This window comes from Homo sapiens, chromosome 6, assembly GCF_000001405.40.
Source record: "Homo sapiens chromosome 6, GRCh38.p14 Primary Assembly".
Taxonomy (NCBI): domain Eukaryota; kingdom Metazoa; phylum Chordata; class Mammalia; order Primates; family Hominidae; genus Homo; species Homo sapiens.
This window is the reverse complement of record NC_000006.12, coordinates 29549358-29565432: the sequence shown is the minus strand read 5'-3', so window position 1 is coordinate 29565432 and position 16075 is coordinate 29549358. Positions and strand designations below refer to the sequence as shown.

Sequence of the window (16075 nt, the reverse complement as noted above, 5' to 3'; positions counted from 1 at the left end):
TGCGCCATTGGTCAACACATCATCCTGCACTTATGACTGCATTAGTTATTCCAGTTGCTTTGTCAGGTTGGACAATTTTTGCACATTGACATCAGTCCCATGTACCAGGCTCAGCAATTGTCTCAGAATTACTTTTTTTTTTTCATTAGGTTTGGTCTCTGATTTTAGCTAATTATAAATTTCTTTGCTTTCAGATATATTATGGGCTATATTATCAATGTTTCTAAATTTTGCAGTATGTAAAAGATTAGTGGAAAATAAATTTTGGGGAGTAGGGAAGGCACAGAATCACAATAGTTAACCTACTATAGCCACCAACTTTTCATGGCCCTTTGCCTGTCAACTAGTGATGAGCACTGAAACTGGTTCCCATTGGTGCATAGCTTATAGCCAGCTCCATTCTGAGCTGATGACTACATAAAAAATATACTATCCCTTCCCATACTATCTGCCTATCTGAATGTGTAAAACATGCACAGTTGCAAAACTAAAAAATAGCAACAATAATAAGATAAGACATATAATGAATAGTCCACCTCTCATTCCTGCTCCTCAGGCAACTTGCAGAGTCAGTGTCTCCTCACAGAGATGTTGTATGCACATTTTAGCATATGTGTATATTTTCTTCCTTTCTAAATAACAAAATATTATACATATATTTTGCAACTTGGCTTTTAAATTTAATTCAACTGTATACACCAGCACTTATTTAGTTGTCTATTGATAAGTGTTGTTCCCATTTATTTCAGTTGCAAATAATTATTTCACATGAATATTCTTGTACATGGCTTATTTCACACATATATAAGTGTACTAATAGGGCCAGGCATGGTGGCTCATACCTGTAATGCCAGCACTTTGGGAGGCGGAGGCAGGTGGATCACCTGAGGTCAGGAGTTCGAGACCAGCCTGGCCAGCATGCTGAAACCCCATCTCTACTAAAAATAAAAATAATAAATAAATAAATAAATAAATAAATAATAGCCAGGCATGGTGGCACATGACTGCAATCCCAGCTGCTCAGAAGGCTGAGGGAGGAGAATCGCTTGAACCCAGGAGGCGGAGGTTGCAGTGAGCCGAGATCGCGCCATTGCATTCCAGGCTGGGAGGCAAGAGTGATACTCCTTAAAAAAAAACCAAAAGAGTACTAATAGGATAAGTTCCTAGAAGCAGAATTGCTGAGCTAGAGGATATGAACATGAAAAATTTTAAATTATATTTTTATTATAATCTTTGATACTACAGATAAATAAATGTAACCCATATAGAATAATATAATGTAACACTATAAAACATAATAGTAGCATAATGAACACTCATGGTTTTTACATTTTTATAAGAGCCTTATTGCTTACATATGTAGTTCTAGATACTATATTCAGTTTTGCTTATGTTTAGTTTTCTTTGGAACATTTGTTTTAGATATTATTACTTTACCTTTAATAAAGTGAATATACGGTATGTCTCTCAAGTAATAAATTGCTTTAACAAACATTAAGTTCTCTTGGTTAAACTTCAGATTCTGAATATGGCAAGATGAAATAATATCAGGGCTTCTAATGCCCTCTTACTTCCTGTTGAAAATCTCCTTCAAGTAGCTTATATCAAAATTTAGATTGGGCTTCATTTTTGTTAAAAAGCAGACATATCCTGAATTTCAAGTAGTTCCTCTTTTTCTCTGTCTCACTATGTAGTTTTGCTTGCTTTTGAGATTTATGGAGAGTATCATACTTTATGTAGTCTTACTCATCTTGCTTTTGTTAGATATAGTGAACTCCAAGATTCTCTTCAAAGAATCAGTATGTCAGCATATTCATCTCTCTTATTCTTTGATTCTCCATTTGAAAGTTGAGCTTCCGGGTTCTCTTCACCCTCTTGCCTCTAGTTTCAGTAAACAACTTTCCTGTCAGTTCTAATCAGTGGTTCATATCTGTTCCCCTGGTCACCTGCTCCATCCGGAGTCACCCTCGGCCACCTGCTTTGATTTGAATCATCCTGAGTCACCTGTTCTGTAACCACCCTTCCCACCAAACTACCCACCCTGCCGCTCTGGCTCATACCCCTGCTCTCTTTAAAATAGCCAATCGGAATTAGCTTAGATTGTGTGGTCCAAACCTAGCCAATAGGGGAACGACACAGCAGTAGGGGCTACCTGCCTCAGGAATAAGAACTCCTTCCCCTCCCTTGTCCAGGTATGCTCTTGCCATTACTCCATCCGCGAGTCACACCCTTCTATAGAAGTAAAAATTCCTTGCTGAGAAAATTGAATTTATGTCTGAGTGCTATTTCTTTGCGGCACCGTGGAATAAGCATTTGTTTCTAACACTTTTTTCACTCAATAGGTTCTAGCACATTCATCTGTATCGTTGTTTGCAGGTATGATCCTTCTATTTATGCTGCTTATGATATTCTACAATTTGGTTACCTATTTCCCTAATACTGATAGGCATTTGGTTGTCTTGGTTTGGTATGTCCATGTTAAATTTTGGTAGGTATTTTCAAACTGTTCTTCTTTGAGTGTAGACTTTTTTCCCAATCACCAATAAATGAGAATTCACACTAGCTTTCTGACTGAGTTTGGTTGGCATTTTTGAAGCAATATTCTAGATCTCAAAGCAGTTTAGAAACTCTTTCATGGACGTTATTAAAGAGACTAGAAAGAGACATCTGTTCCAAGTAGGCTTCAAGTAGGCTTCAATGGGGGCAGTGACAGGCCCAAGAGCATCCCGTCAGCCAGGGCCACATTGGGACACTCGTAGATAACCGCCACAATTGTTTTATAACTTGGCAAGATCTTCATACCATCATCTTTTTACTTTTGTTACTGGAAAGGGATCCTGATCCAGCCCCCAAGAGAGCGTTATTGGATCTTGCACAAGAAAGAATTCAGGGTGAATCCATAGAGTAAACTGAAAGCAAGCGTATTAAGAAAGTAAAGGAAAAAAAGAATGGCTACTTTATAGGCAGAGCAGCCCTGAGGGCTGCTGGTTGACTATTTTTATGGTTATTTCTTGATTATATACTAAACAAGGGGTGGCTTATTCACAAGTTTTCCAGGAAAGAAGTGGGAAATTCCTGGAACTGAGGGTTCCTCCTCTTTTTAGACCATATAGAGTAACTTCTGGACATTGCCATGGCATCTGTAAACTGCCATGGCCCTGGTGGGAATATTTTTTAGCATGTTAATGTTTTATTTAGCATATAATGAGCAGTGAGAATGACCAGAAGTCACTTTCGTTGCCATCTTGGTTTTGGTGGGTTTTGGCTGGCTTCTTTACTGCTTCCTTTTATTTGCAAGGTCTTTATAACCTGTACTTTGTGCTGATCTCCTCTCTCATCCTGTGACTTAGAATGCCTAACTTCCTGGGAATGCAGCCTAGTAGATGTCAGCCTTATTTTATCCAGCCCCTATTCAAGATGGAGTTGCTCTGGTTCAAACACCTCTGACACTTTAGTTGGTTTTCTGAATTTGTCAGAGGGGTAAATGATGTAGTTTGGATGTTTGTACTCTCCAGATCTCATGTTGAAATGTGACCCCCAGTGTTGGAAATGGGCCCACTGGGAGATGTTTGGGTTGTGGTGGCAGATCCCTCATGAATGGCCTGGGGCTGTCATCATTGTAATAAATGAGTTCTCACTCCATTAGCTCACAAGAGAGCTGGTTGTTTAAAAGAGCCTGGCATTTTTCCCACTGTCTCTTACCTCCCTCTCTTGCCATGTGACACGCCTGCTCTCCTTCACCTTCCACCATGAGTAAAAGCTTCTTGAGGCCTCACCAGAAGCAGATGCTGGTGCCATACTTCTTGTATAGTTGGAGGAACTATGAATCAATTAAACTTTTTTTCCTTATAAATTACCCAGCCTCAAGTATTCCTTTATAGTATGCAAAAGAGACTAAAACAGCAAATGAAAAGAGATCTGTCTCTGAAAGAACTTATTGTGACATAGAGAGAGACAGAAAAAAGTCAGATTGACACTGGGTAAGAAGCAAGGAGGTCAGGTCCCAAGATGAAGTCCTGCCTGTGGTCAGCAAAGGGGCACCAAGGTGTCTGGGACAGTCCTGGCCCTGGCTTTGGGCAGGGAGGGAATTTCCCATAGGAAGGGAAGAGTAAAGAGAGAGAGAGAGGTCAGAGTCCAGGTTTGTTGTTCATATGTTTTCTTGAAAGGGCACTATTTCCCAGAATCCAGGTCATCTCTGGGTAGGGAATCCCCTGAATTAGTTTTTTCTGAGAGTATATTAGATTTGCCCTCACAGTAACCCCATGCTGGAAATACCCAACTCCAGTAGCACTTTTCTCCCTGCCTTTTCCCACTGAAATAACATAATAATATAGGAAGAATACAAGGACTATAGAAATACAGATTAGTGTTTGAACCCTTGCTTACCAGCTACTACTAATATGATTGTGGATGAGGTAGCTTCTTACTTATTAACGGGGATACTAATAGAGGTGGTTCCTTACAATGATTCCATTTATGATTTTTTATTTAATAGTGATACCAAAGCAATACATACTCAGTAGAAACCTACTTCAAGTTCCCATAAAATCATCTGCTTTTCACTTTCAGTACAGTATTTAATAACTTAAATGAGATATTTCACACTTCAGTAGTAAATACACTTTTTGTTAGATAATTTTGTCCAACTGTATGCTAATGTAAGTGTTCTGAGCATGTTTAAGGCAGGTTAGGTTAAGCTATGATGTTTGGTGGGTTAGGTGTATTAAATGCATTTCTGATTTTGGATATTTTCAGTGTACAATGGGTTTACAGGGATGTAACCCCATCATAAGTGAAGGAGCACCTGTACTTACTTCATTAAAATGCTGAAACAGTAAATAAGGTAACATTTAATAATATGTTGTGCAGTTCTTGAAATTTAAGTACTCACCAAATATTACTTTTCCTTTTTTTGTTATTTACTTACTTTTCATTCATTTATTAATTCATTTGTGCATTTAGTAAACATTTATAAATTATTTCCTGTGCCTGACAGCATGCTGGAACAGTGCTAAAGATACAAGTTAATTAAGACACAATCACGACCCCCAAGATTCCTACTCTTTTCTAAAGATTACAGACAAGCAGACGATGCTATTGTTGAAGAAACATGCTCTGAGAGGCATTTGAAGGAAGTGTAGAGGATAGAAGATGGACACATAACCCAGGATGGGGAGGAAAAGAGTTAGGGAAGGCTTTTTGACGAAGATACTGTTTACACCGTGTGTTCTTATAAATTCATGGTGGTGGGGATAGAGTTGGAGGAAAAGGCATGCTCAGTGGCGTGGAGATGGCAGAGAGATTGGGGTGTTCAAGGATATGCCGGGAATTCAAGGAACGAGAATTCCCATAGACACAGACACAGCTAGACATAGAGATCTGCAGCTTAGGTTTGGGCTGTGGGTATAGATCCAGGTGGCTTCAACAGACAAAGATCTTTCCTGAGAAAAGGGAAAAGTTTTCAACACAGAAAGACCATCCCATGTTTGGAATGAGGTTTGCAAATAGATTGCTTGAGGAGAGAAGTATGTGATCAGAAAGCATTCTTTGTCTATTAACTCCTGCCCAGCAAAAGTGAAAGAAAATTCATGGGAGCATGCAAGAACAAAGAGCACAGCAAAGCTGGACAAACACAGCAATCCAGGCAGGGGATTTCCAACTCAACTCTGGTATATAAGCTGCATGCAAAGTCCTTTTTCTGTCTCTGGTTTCTGGCCCCTTGTCTGCAGAGATGGCTCCCAATGCTTCCTGCCTCTGTGTAAGTTGGGATTTGATAAAGGGGATGGGGAAAGGAAAAGCACTTTCAAGAGTTGGGGAGAGATCTTAGAAACGGGGGCTGGGCAGTACTCAGGGCTCTGGGGGGCTGGGCAGGCATCCTTCAGGAGAAGAGGCTGGCATTGACATTTGCAGAATGGGAAGAGGGATTGTCTGAAGAGAAGCTGGTTATCTGGCTTCTGTGTTCTTTTTTAAATAAAACATTGGACTAGCTACTCTTAGGGATAAATGGTAGAAGAAAAAGTGGGGGTGAGCTTTGTGTTCCACAGGGCTGGTGAGATTTGAAATTATGGTAACATTTTTTAAGGTTCTTAAACTTAATCTTCCCTCTCCTCTCAAAGGAGAGCTTCACAAAACTCATTCATCTGAAGTTGTTAATGATCTAACACATTACATTATATAAGAAAATATGCACTATGGAGAGAACCTGGAATTAAGGCAATGCTTAACACAGATCTTCCAGTGAAGAAATGTCTGCAATATCTAGATTGGGAAAATATTTCTGAATGGAGTATGAGGGAGGTCTTCTCAGGCTTTCAAGTGGCCATTAGGGGTGAGTTTTCCCATCTTTTAGGATTTTCCAGCTATTGAAGTAAGACTTAGATATAGTCCCTACCTTCTGTGAGTGAGGCCCTAGTCTTATCAAAGGAGATCACATTCTATATTAGTGTTACCAGGGGGTCTTTGCTCCCAGAGCTCTCAAGATGGTGGTGGGCTGCTTCCAAAATGGCCGCAGGCCGCTTCCAAGATGGTGGCAAGCCTCGTGTTCTCTGACCTGGGGTTCTTGGCCTCATGGATTCCAAGGAATGGAATCTTGGGTCATGTGGTGGTTGTTACAGCTCTATTAGAAGCCATGGGTCACGGAAGAGAACCGTGGACCCAGTGACTAGTGTTCAGCTCGATTAGGAAGAACCTGGGCACTTAGCCGTGCAGAACAATGGTACGCCTTTAGCCCAATCAGGAGCGGCAATGGGCGCCTCACTGGTTCAGAAGCACAGCGGACACCCTGCCAGATCCGAGGGATGGAAGTCAGCCGCGGGTCTGCGACGGTGGCAAACGGCAGTGGTGGATGGCAAGCGAAAGCTCACCTCGAGCCGTAAGAAACATAGACCAGAAGAGTGCAGTTGCAAGATTTAGTAGAGTGAAGACAGAGCTCCCATACAAAGGGAGGGGACCCAAAGAGGGTAGCGTTGCTGGCTCGAATGCCTGTGTTTATATCCCGATCATTGTCCCTCCCGCTGTGATCTCAGGCAATAGATGATTGGCTATATCTTTACCTCCTGTTTTTGCCTAATTAGCATTTTAGTGAGCTCTCTTTACTACCTGATTGGTCAGGTGTGAGCTAAGTTGCAAGCCCCGTGTTTAAAGGTGGATGCAGTCACCTCCCCAGCTAGGCTTAGGGATTCTTAGTCGGCCTAGGAAATCCAGCTAGTCCTGTCTCTCATTAGATAGAAATAAAAACACAAGAAATATAAATTAACAAGAAACACTGAACATAGTGTCACGGTAGTATGTGAGTTATTATTATAAAGCAGTGGGATATTTGAAAAGAAACTAACAGTTCAGTGATTATGTGTCCTACCCAGGATTTCCTTCTGAAGTATTGACAGAGGGTATCCTATGGCTATGAGTATCTTCATGAGGCTGTCATATTTTGGAAATTCTCTTTGAGAGTTGTTTTTAGAGTCTGATGTACATCTTTTGAAGCCTCGTATTTACTTGTTGACATTTGACAAACTTTATCTGGATAGGAGAGGCAGGTAAATAAGGTGGAAAATCACTAATTACATTTTGAGATGGATAAAGGTATGTTTTTTACATCCATTGAAATGCACAGAAAAACGAAATGTAAAGATTGTCAACTAAAAAAAATCACACAATTCATAAATTTAGAAGGGGAGTTTATTTCTTATGAAAGGTTATAGTCTGCAAGGTAGCCATTCTGACAGGCTGGGAAGTTTTGCTTCTGATTGAAAACCAAAAGCAAGCACTTTGCAGGAGGAAAGGTGACACAGGAATTTATGCTGAAGGGGTTTGCTAAGTATACATATCCAATAGGTTATAGCAGAGGCAATGAATATTCATGGAGGGGGTCCTAATGCATGCATATTGAATAAGCTTGCATGTTACATACCACCCATGGTCACTCTGAAGTGGAGACTTAACATTTAATTGCATTACAGTTAGGCCTTATACATGAAAAGGTGAAGCAGGGACACAAAGGCATTCAAATGCACAGCTTCTGTAAACTAGCCAGAACCAGTCCATGGTCAGTGGTCTCTTATCAGGAGAAAATTACTGAAATCAGTCTTTTGTCCAATTAAAACTGTAGTTATGGCTTGTGGAACACGGGGTCAGTTAGCCTGTGTTCCCCAACACAGGGTGAGCTGTAATTGTTTTAATATTGTTCCTGTCAAGGCCAGTGCTTGTTTAGCTGCTAGAGAAAAAAGAAAAAACTTTGTGGCAGAACATAGTTTATTCTTTAAGTGTAAGGGATGCATGACTTAACTTTTGCCTGTTATAGCCCTCGGTCTTGTTTATAATTTGCTATCTTATTGCCACAAAGAATCCATTCTCTCAGTCTTATAATCTCTAACTTTGCTGGTCAGTTGTGTCTAAACTGCAAAAGGGAGAAGATACAATGAGGCATATCCAACCTCCTGTTCCATCATGACTGAATGTTTTATTTATTTATATTTTTGAGACAGAGTCTCACTCTGTTGCCCTGGCTGGAGTGCAGTAGTGCCATCTCCACTCACTGCAACCTCTGCCTCCTGGATTCAAATGATTCTCCTGCCTCAGCCTCCTGAGTAGCTGGGATTACAGGGACTTGCCACCACTACTGGCTAATTTTTGTATTTTTAGTAGAGACAGAGTTTCACCAAGTTCACCAGGCTGGTCTCGAACTCCCAGCATCAATTGATCAGCCTGCCTCAGCTTCCCAAAGTTCTGGGATTACAGGTGTAAGCCACCACCCTTGGCCCAATGACTAAGTTTTTAAAGTTTCTCTAGGGTCCCCCTGAGCAAAAGAGCGTCCGTTCAGTTGGTTGGGGGCTCAGGATTTTATTTTCCATTCTCAAGATCGAAAAAAAGGTGTGATTATAAAGGAATGGGACAAATTATCTTATTTGTGTTGTAACTTGGTAATTCCAAAAAAGAAGTTCCAAGAAAGAGAGGGACACTGGCTACTGAATAGGAGCTAGAGGACCAGATAGATAGTGGAAGAGGGGGAGCCATTGTGGTGGGGAGTAGAAGTGTAAAGGAGGCAGGCATCCTAGGTAACTGTCTTGTGGCTTTCACTTCCCAGGTGCATGTCCGTTCCGAGGAATGGGATTTAATGACCTTTGATGCCAACCCATATGACAGCGTGAAAAAAATCAAAGAACATGTCCGGTCTAAGACCAAGGTTCCTGTGCAGGACCAGGTTCTTTTGCTGGGCTCCAAGATCTTAAAGCCACGGAGAAGCCTCTCATCTTATGGCATTGACAAAGAGAAGACCATCCACCTTACCCTGAAAGTGGTGAAGCCCAGTGATGAGGAGCTGCCCTTGTTTCTTGTGGAGTCAGGTGATGAGGCAAAGAGGCACCTCCTCCAGGTGCGAAGGTCCAGCTCAGTGGCACAAGTGAAAGCAATGATCGAGACTAAGACGGGTATAATCCCTGAGACCCAGATTGTGACTTGCAATGGAAAGAGACTGGAAGATGGGAAGATGATGGCAGATTACGGCATCAGAAAGGGCAACTTACTCTTCCTGGCATGTTATTGTATTGGAGGGTGACCACCCTGGGCATGGGGTGTTGGCAGGGGTCAAAAAGCTTATTTCTTTTAATCTCTTACTCAACGAACACATCTTCTGATGATTTCCCAAAATTAATGAGAATGAGATGAGTAGAGTAAGATTTGGGTGGGATGGGTAGGATGAAGTATATTGCCCAACTCTATGTTTCTTTGATTCTAACACAATTAATTAAGTGACATGATTTTTACTAATGTATTACTGAGACTAGTAAATAAATTTTTAAGGCAAAATAGAGCATTCAAAGCCAGCTTGGAATTTAATTCTGTCTTGATACCTTGTTATTTATGCAAAAACTCCTATCTCCTTTCCTTTATGACAAGAGAGTAAGTTTTAGGTTGGGATCCATGTTCTACTGATTTCTGTATTTCTGTCTTTGTTAAGTCCAGTGCTTTATTTATATCACTCAATAATGGTTGAACCAAATTGAATTTCTACTTATAGAGCATAGTGAAATGATATTTTATAAAATGAATTAGTTGCTCTGACATGATCACAATCAAATTACTAAACATTTTAGAAACTAAATTAAACTCCTTCCCCCCTCTTCTCCTTTAAAGCTATTTGTATGAAATGAAGTCTGGCACCATGCCCCCTTTTATTCTCTATGTCTCACACCCAACTAAAATAGTTATTATTTCTGGGGATGATGGTGGGCAAGGAAAGGTATTTTCCACAGGGATCTAGCAATTCTGTTTAACTAGTGGGGATTCCTAGGGGTAGATGGACATTGGGAGCGAACAAACTTTCTAAAGCTGGGGGACTGTGGACCACCCTCTCTCCTACCTGCCTTAGGGTCTAGCAGGTCTTCTCCAGGATGAGGGCGCCAGTCTGGGTGAGGGTGGGTGAGGAGCTGGCTTCTGGGTTGACCTCAATATTCTGCTCAGGTTCTGCTGATTGAGCATTTTCCTCTCTTCTTTTTTTCATGAGGAGATCCCTGTTCCTGTCTTGAGAACTTGAGTCCCTTCCTCCATCTTCCTCCCTCCATTTACTCCTCTCTCTGACTCTCTCTCTTGCTCTCTCTCTCATGACTCACTACTGATCACCTGTGAGTTTTTTTCACGGGCTGAGACGTGCCCGCCTTCTTCCACACTCATCCTAGTTCCTTGTTTCTTTAAAACTTGCTCAAGAACCAACTCCTGCAGGGGGGTTTCCAGTCTTAACCCCACTCAGCAAAATTCACCACCATTTATGGGCTTTCCTCATCACATTTATGGGTGAAATGCCCCGGGGAGGGCACTGGTCATCTGGCCAGGTCTGCACTAAGTTGGACTGATTTCTGAGAATAGAGTCCATGGTCGCTTTTTCTGGATGTACCCTCTCCTGCAGGGTAGGGACTATGATTTTCTTGTCAACTTGAGACTTCTGATTGCAGAGACCAAGAGGTCTTCCATGGTCTTCCATCAGATAGGGAGGAAGCTAAAGGCGAGCATCACGTCCATCATTTTCCCTGCGCGTGGAGTTGTGAGGGGTAGGTTTTCCTTCCCTAAACCTGAGTATATAGAGGATTTAGGGATTTTCCCTCAAGAACTAAACATTTCCTCACGGGAGGAAAACATATCCCCCATTGGACTCCTTAGGACAAATCTTGCAGATTATCATACAAAAATGAACAGCCTGAAGTCTAAACTGACTCACTAAGGGGTATTTCCATCCTTGGGTTCTGGCTTAATACTTTCTCCCCTCCCCAACTACTCACTGCCCAGCCTGGCCTCTCCCCAGACTCCGCAGCAGCCTCCTCGCTGCCCCCTTCACTTTCTTATTCCTGAGGGTGTAGATGAGCGGGTTGAGAGCAGGTGTGACCACGGTGTAGAAGAGCGATACGAACTTGCCCCGTGCCTGGTTGTAGCGCTGCGCGGGCTGCAGGTAGGTGTAGATGGCCGAGCCGTAGAACAGGCAGACGGCTGTCAGGTGGGACCCACACGTGCCCACCGCCCTCCTCCGGCCTCCGCTGAACCGCATGCAACAGACAGCTCGGGCCACGGCACCGTAGGAGGCCAGGATGACGGCAAACGGCAGCAGCAGGATGACCACGCGGGCGGCGAACATCTGGTTCTCGGTAGTGTCTCCGTCGCCTCCGCAGGCCAGCTTGAGCAACGCCGGCAGCTCACAGATGAAGTGGTCCAGCAGGCGGGGCGCGCACAGCGGCCGCTCAGCCAGGAGCGCGGTTTGCGCAACCGAGTTGGTGAGGCCGCTTAGCCAGGAGGCGCTGGCCAGCGTGCGACATAGGCGCGGGGAGACGAGCCCCGCATAGCGCAGCGGGCGGCACACTGCGGCCGCGCGGTCCAGAGCCATCACCGCCAGGAGGACGCATTCGGCGGAACCCAGAGCCAGCGATGCGCACAGCTGGGCCGTGCAGTGGCTGCGCGGCAGCCAGAGCGCTGGTCCGCGCAGGTTGGCCAGCAGCGGCGGCACCACGCTAGTAGTGAAGCCCGCGTCTACCAAGGCCAGGTGGCAGAGGAAGTAGTACATGGGCGTGTGCAGGCGCGGGTCGCGCACCGCCAGCAGCACCAGCGCCGAGTTGCCCGTCAAGGTCAGGAGGTAGCACAGGAGGACAAGGGCGAAGAGGACCGGCTGCAGGGAAGGCCAGTCGGAGAAACCCAGCAGGAGAAAGCGCTCCTCTGCGCTGTAGTTGGCCTAAAGGAGGAAAACTCCCAGAATGTTTGGAAGGTCGAAATAAAAAAGGGTGACTACCCCTTATAAGCAAAGGGAAAACCTTGGAGTGTGGGGCTGGGCTGGGAGAAGGAATGGAATCATATACAAGGTCAGTTTGTGGATTGTAATCCCATTTACAGATGAGATTACTTAAAAATAAACTCCCTAAGAATAAGAGCAACACTCCAAGCTTGGCCTGGCCAACACTCGGTAGGCAGAATGATCACCTCCGTTGTTTCAGGTACTCTGTGTTTATTTATGCAACAGTTCATGTAAAATGGAGACGAGGCCAGAAGAATCCTTGAGCAGACAGAGCCAGTTGGGCCTCCTAAGTGACCTTAACCTTGCTTGATTTGCAAGCATGTCTGAAACTTTATTTGTGGTATTTCTTGTAAATGCCTATGTTAAAGAAACACAGAACTTAAGCTCAACCAATCAGAAGCAGCCAACAAAAACGTAATTAGTAACTAGGACTTCCTCATGGGATAGACCAAATAAGGCAACTGTATAACTGTGTAACTGTATAACTGTAACCAATGAAATATTATCTTTGCTTTTATCTATTTGTCCTAAAAAGCCTCCTCCTCATGTTCTCTCTGGGGAGCTCCCTAGCCACTTCTGGATCACTGCTCAAATAAACTCTTAAATATTTTATTGGGCCTTAGTTTACTTTCTAACACAACCCATTATACGGCTGATTACTGATTTTTAATTTGTTGTGAATAGAGACTACTCCCAACGTCCATGCCCCTCCCACTGAGGGGAGATCAGCACACGTATACTAGCCTTTAAATCAGGAATAAGTTGGGTAGAAAAAAAGAACACTTTCTGGTAGACTAGAATATCAGGACATCTTGGTTTTACCTACATAGCTCCCTTTAGCCAGTTATATGATATGGGGAAATCTTCATTTCCCTCTGTCTCAATTTTTTCATATGTAAATCAAGGAGTTTGAACTAGATGTCATCTAAGTTTCCTGTCCCAAATCCTTGGCTTTACTATCAAATATTAATCCAAAAATAAAATAAAAAGAGAACCCCAGGGAACAAAAGGAACCTCATTCTCCAAGGGTCTTGTTGAACCAAGTGTCTTAATGGTACAGAAACATATGGGTTATGTAATGGATGAAAGTTTACGTGATGGACAGAAATCTTTCTGCTGCATGACTCCTGACATAAATTATTATATGGATAACTTATTTTTCACATCATATTCACTGCTGTAAATTACAAAATCACAATAACCTAATTTTTCATTTTTCAGAGGGAAAAAACACTGCTCCCTACCAAAACATCCTGTTTGATTTTATGTTTCACTCATTTTATCCTCACTGGGCAGAATAAGCATTAATGTCATAATTAAGAACCAGGGCTCAGCAGCCAGACTGCCTGGGTTTGAGTCCTGGCTCTGCCATTTTCTAGCTGGAAAACCTTGGGTATGTTACTTAGCCTCTCTCTGCCTCAGTTTCCTCATATGAAAATAGAAATATGTTAAGTGGGCTAAATATGAAAAGCTGTTAGAACAAGGCCTGGCACATAGCAGTTGTTAACTGTCATCCTTTAATAAATGCTAACTATCGTCATATCTGTTTCCCAAATTAAGAAACAGGTTTTTAAGGGGTTCTTATGCTAGGCAGTGATACAACTGCTATGAACATTTACAGCTCTTTTCATTTATTAACTCTAATCTTAACTCACTTGAATATTAGGCAATAGCCTTATTTTATAGAGTATGTTAGGAGAGTAACTGAAGTTAAATTACTTGCCCAAGGCCACATTATTTGTAAATGCTTAATAGGTTTTCCACTTATATTTGACTAACTTCGAGGTCCTTCCTGTTTGATCAACCAGGATCCACTGTGCTAGAGACTGTGGAGTATGAAAGGACATGCAAAGTCTTACCTATATTTATAGATCATTTTATAATTTGGGGTCATATCAGAGATGAATAAAGTAGGAGAGGTGACATTCAGGCTTACAGACCAATGGTGGCTAGAGATGTTGAGTTACAAAAGGTCAAATTCTTTAATGCGGTGATTACACGGACACATAACTGTTCAGCCTGGCAAGCTCTAAACCATTCCTCTTCAAATATGCCACACCATGAAAACAGGCACACAATAATAAAACTGCACAGATAACATTCTTGTTACATGTATGCACAAATTCCCCAAAACATAGGCATGTGTGCACCTGTACACATAAACCCATCATCTCCCTCACACATCTAGAAGACAAATCTGTTGTGAAATATATAATATAATGTGTCATCAAACTTCACTTGGTATTTCAGAATGTGGCTCTCGGCACAAGACCATTTTGTTGTAGGGCACTGTAATACCCAACTTACCTTCATGACTAATCTTTGGCACTAATGTTTACACCTTGAGTTTCCAGATGATAGGTTGGTCTCTTGCTCCTGCTCTGGATTCTCTGGATTTGAAATGGAGTTGGGAGTATTTAATAAAAGATGCAATTGCATAGCTGTGTTGATTTCTGGAATGGATGCCTGGGATCAGAGCCAGGTATTTCAGGAAGAAGACGAGGGGTGGGTGTCATTGTGCTTGTAAATAGAGGAATAAAAAGAACGGGTAAGAAAGAACCTACATTTGTGAAATTTCAGGATCTAGGCAGAGGTGGTGATGTCTGTTCCTGGAGAACCTTGTAATGGGGTACAGACCAGACAAGGACCTGGGCCTTGTGCTGGTAGCAAATCAGCATTAGCTGGTGGTGGTAGCAAATATCCCTCCTGGATCTAAAGGACACAGTTAGAGAGGAGGAAGCATGCTGATGAGTGCTCTCACTAGAGAAAAAACAGGGGACTCAACGTTCCCTGTTATTTAGAAGAGAGGATGGAGCTCTGGGGAATAGATGTCCCACTCCTATCATTAGTACTTTGCATGAAGGTGTCCGGAGAGGAGTCCCCAAGAGTGGGGAAGAGGAAATTCTGGAGGGAAAGTCCCTTTAGGGTAGTGTGCCTCTGGCAGTGTATGAAGGCCAAAGGCAGCGTAATTCCCTCTCATTAATATTTCTACTATTCAATTGGAACTGGTTTAGAATTTCATTCTCTGATGGAGTGACCTTAAGCTAATTGTTTAACTTCAGTGACTCTCAATGTCATCATCTGTAAAACAAGGAAAATAACCCTTTCTGTCAGGAATTTTGTAGATTTGTTGAAGTCATTATTAGTTTTGAATGTAGCTTTGACTGTTATGTCATCAGCTTTGCTCCAAAGTCCACCTCCCCACTTGTGGCTCTCATCATTCTCTTTCCCTTTGCTCCTCCTTCGTCCTTGAAGATTTTTGTCCCTGATCCCCTCTCACTCTCTCCAGTACTGTGATGATTCTTGGTGAATTCAGTATCCTCATAGATTATCTTTCTATACTTTCCTCTCAGTTTCTTCCTCAGTGAGAGGTCCGCAAATTCATCGTGGCCCCTCACGCCCCTTGTATCTTCAGTTCTCTATCAAGCTTAGACTGTCTCGTCAATCACTATTACTCCTTTGCATACATCAATGTTCCTGCCCTTTTCACTTGTTACACTCTTTCAGCTAAATTGCTTTCCTATTTAAATCCAACTATAGTCCTACTCTCTCCCTATATTTGTTCAGCTGACTGTGGCCGAAGGAAAGCCAATAGCCACACTGAGAGGTTTCACTTTACATTCATGACCACTACTTTAAGAGGAAGGGGCTAATGTCATTGATAATCATATTTTCCTAGTCCACTCACTTTCCCCTCTCCTACGTAACTCATGCATACTTTCTGGTCTCCCCTCAAATCCCCAGTACTCCTCTCTCTCAAATAATATCATCTTTCTCAGATAAAAATTTTACTTCATTTTTTACTGA

The 16075-nt window shown here is 42.4% G+C and overlaps 2 protein-coding genes across 2 annotated transcripts, besides 1 other annotated feature; one reads left to right on the top strand and one right to left on the bottom strand.

The window, feature by feature from the left end:
• Positions 1364 to 2563: an enhancer, noted in NCBI's record as "P300/CBP strongly-dependent group 1 enhancer chr6:29530647-29531846 (GRCh37/hg19 assembly coordinates)". NCBI's record gives its function as "activates an origin of replication core promoter dependent on BRD2, BRD4, P300/CBP, MED14 and CDK7 cofactors, with strong dependence on P300/CBP, by STARR-seq in HCT116 cells {active_cell/tissue: HCT116}" and the evidence as "EXISTENCE:reporter gene assay evidence [ECO:0000049][PMID:35650434]".
• UBD (ubiquitin like modifier D) lies at positions 5701 to 9918 on the top strand. Its single transcript, NM_006398.4, has 2 exons — positions 5701 to 5758; positions 9083 to 9918. Exons 1-2 carry the CDS (start codon positions 5732 to 5734, stop codon positions 9551 to 9553), a joined length of 498 nt encoding a protein of 165 aa, NP_006389.2. The 5' UTR covers positions 5701 to 5731; the 3' UTR covers positions 9554 to 9918.
• On the bottom strand, positions 7660 to 15026 carry OR2I1 (olfactory receptor family 2 subfamily I member 1 (gene/pseudogene)). The gene is made up of 2 exons (NM_001396058.1): positions 14576 to 15026; positions 7660 to 12208 (listed from the first exon to the last, which is right to left on the bottom strand). The coding sequence occupies exons 1-2, from the start codon at positions 14579 to 14581 to the stop codon at positions 11267 to 11269; spliced, it is 948 nt and encodes a 315-aa protein (NP_001382987.1). The 5' UTR covers positions 14582 to 15026; the 3' UTR covers positions 7660 to 11266.
• Positions 15027 to 16075: the final 1049 nt, after the last annotated feature.

What these genes read in the sequence shown, in the direction of transcription:
- UBD (NM_006398.4), top strand. Translation starts at nt 5,732, where the DNA reads ATGGCTCCCAATGCTTCCTGCCTCTGT. An exon ending in CCAATGCTTCCTGCCTCTGT is followed by an intron (nt 5,759 to 9,082) that starts GTAAGTTGGGAT and finishes TTCACTTCCCAG; the next exon opens with GTGCATGTCCGTTCCGAGGA.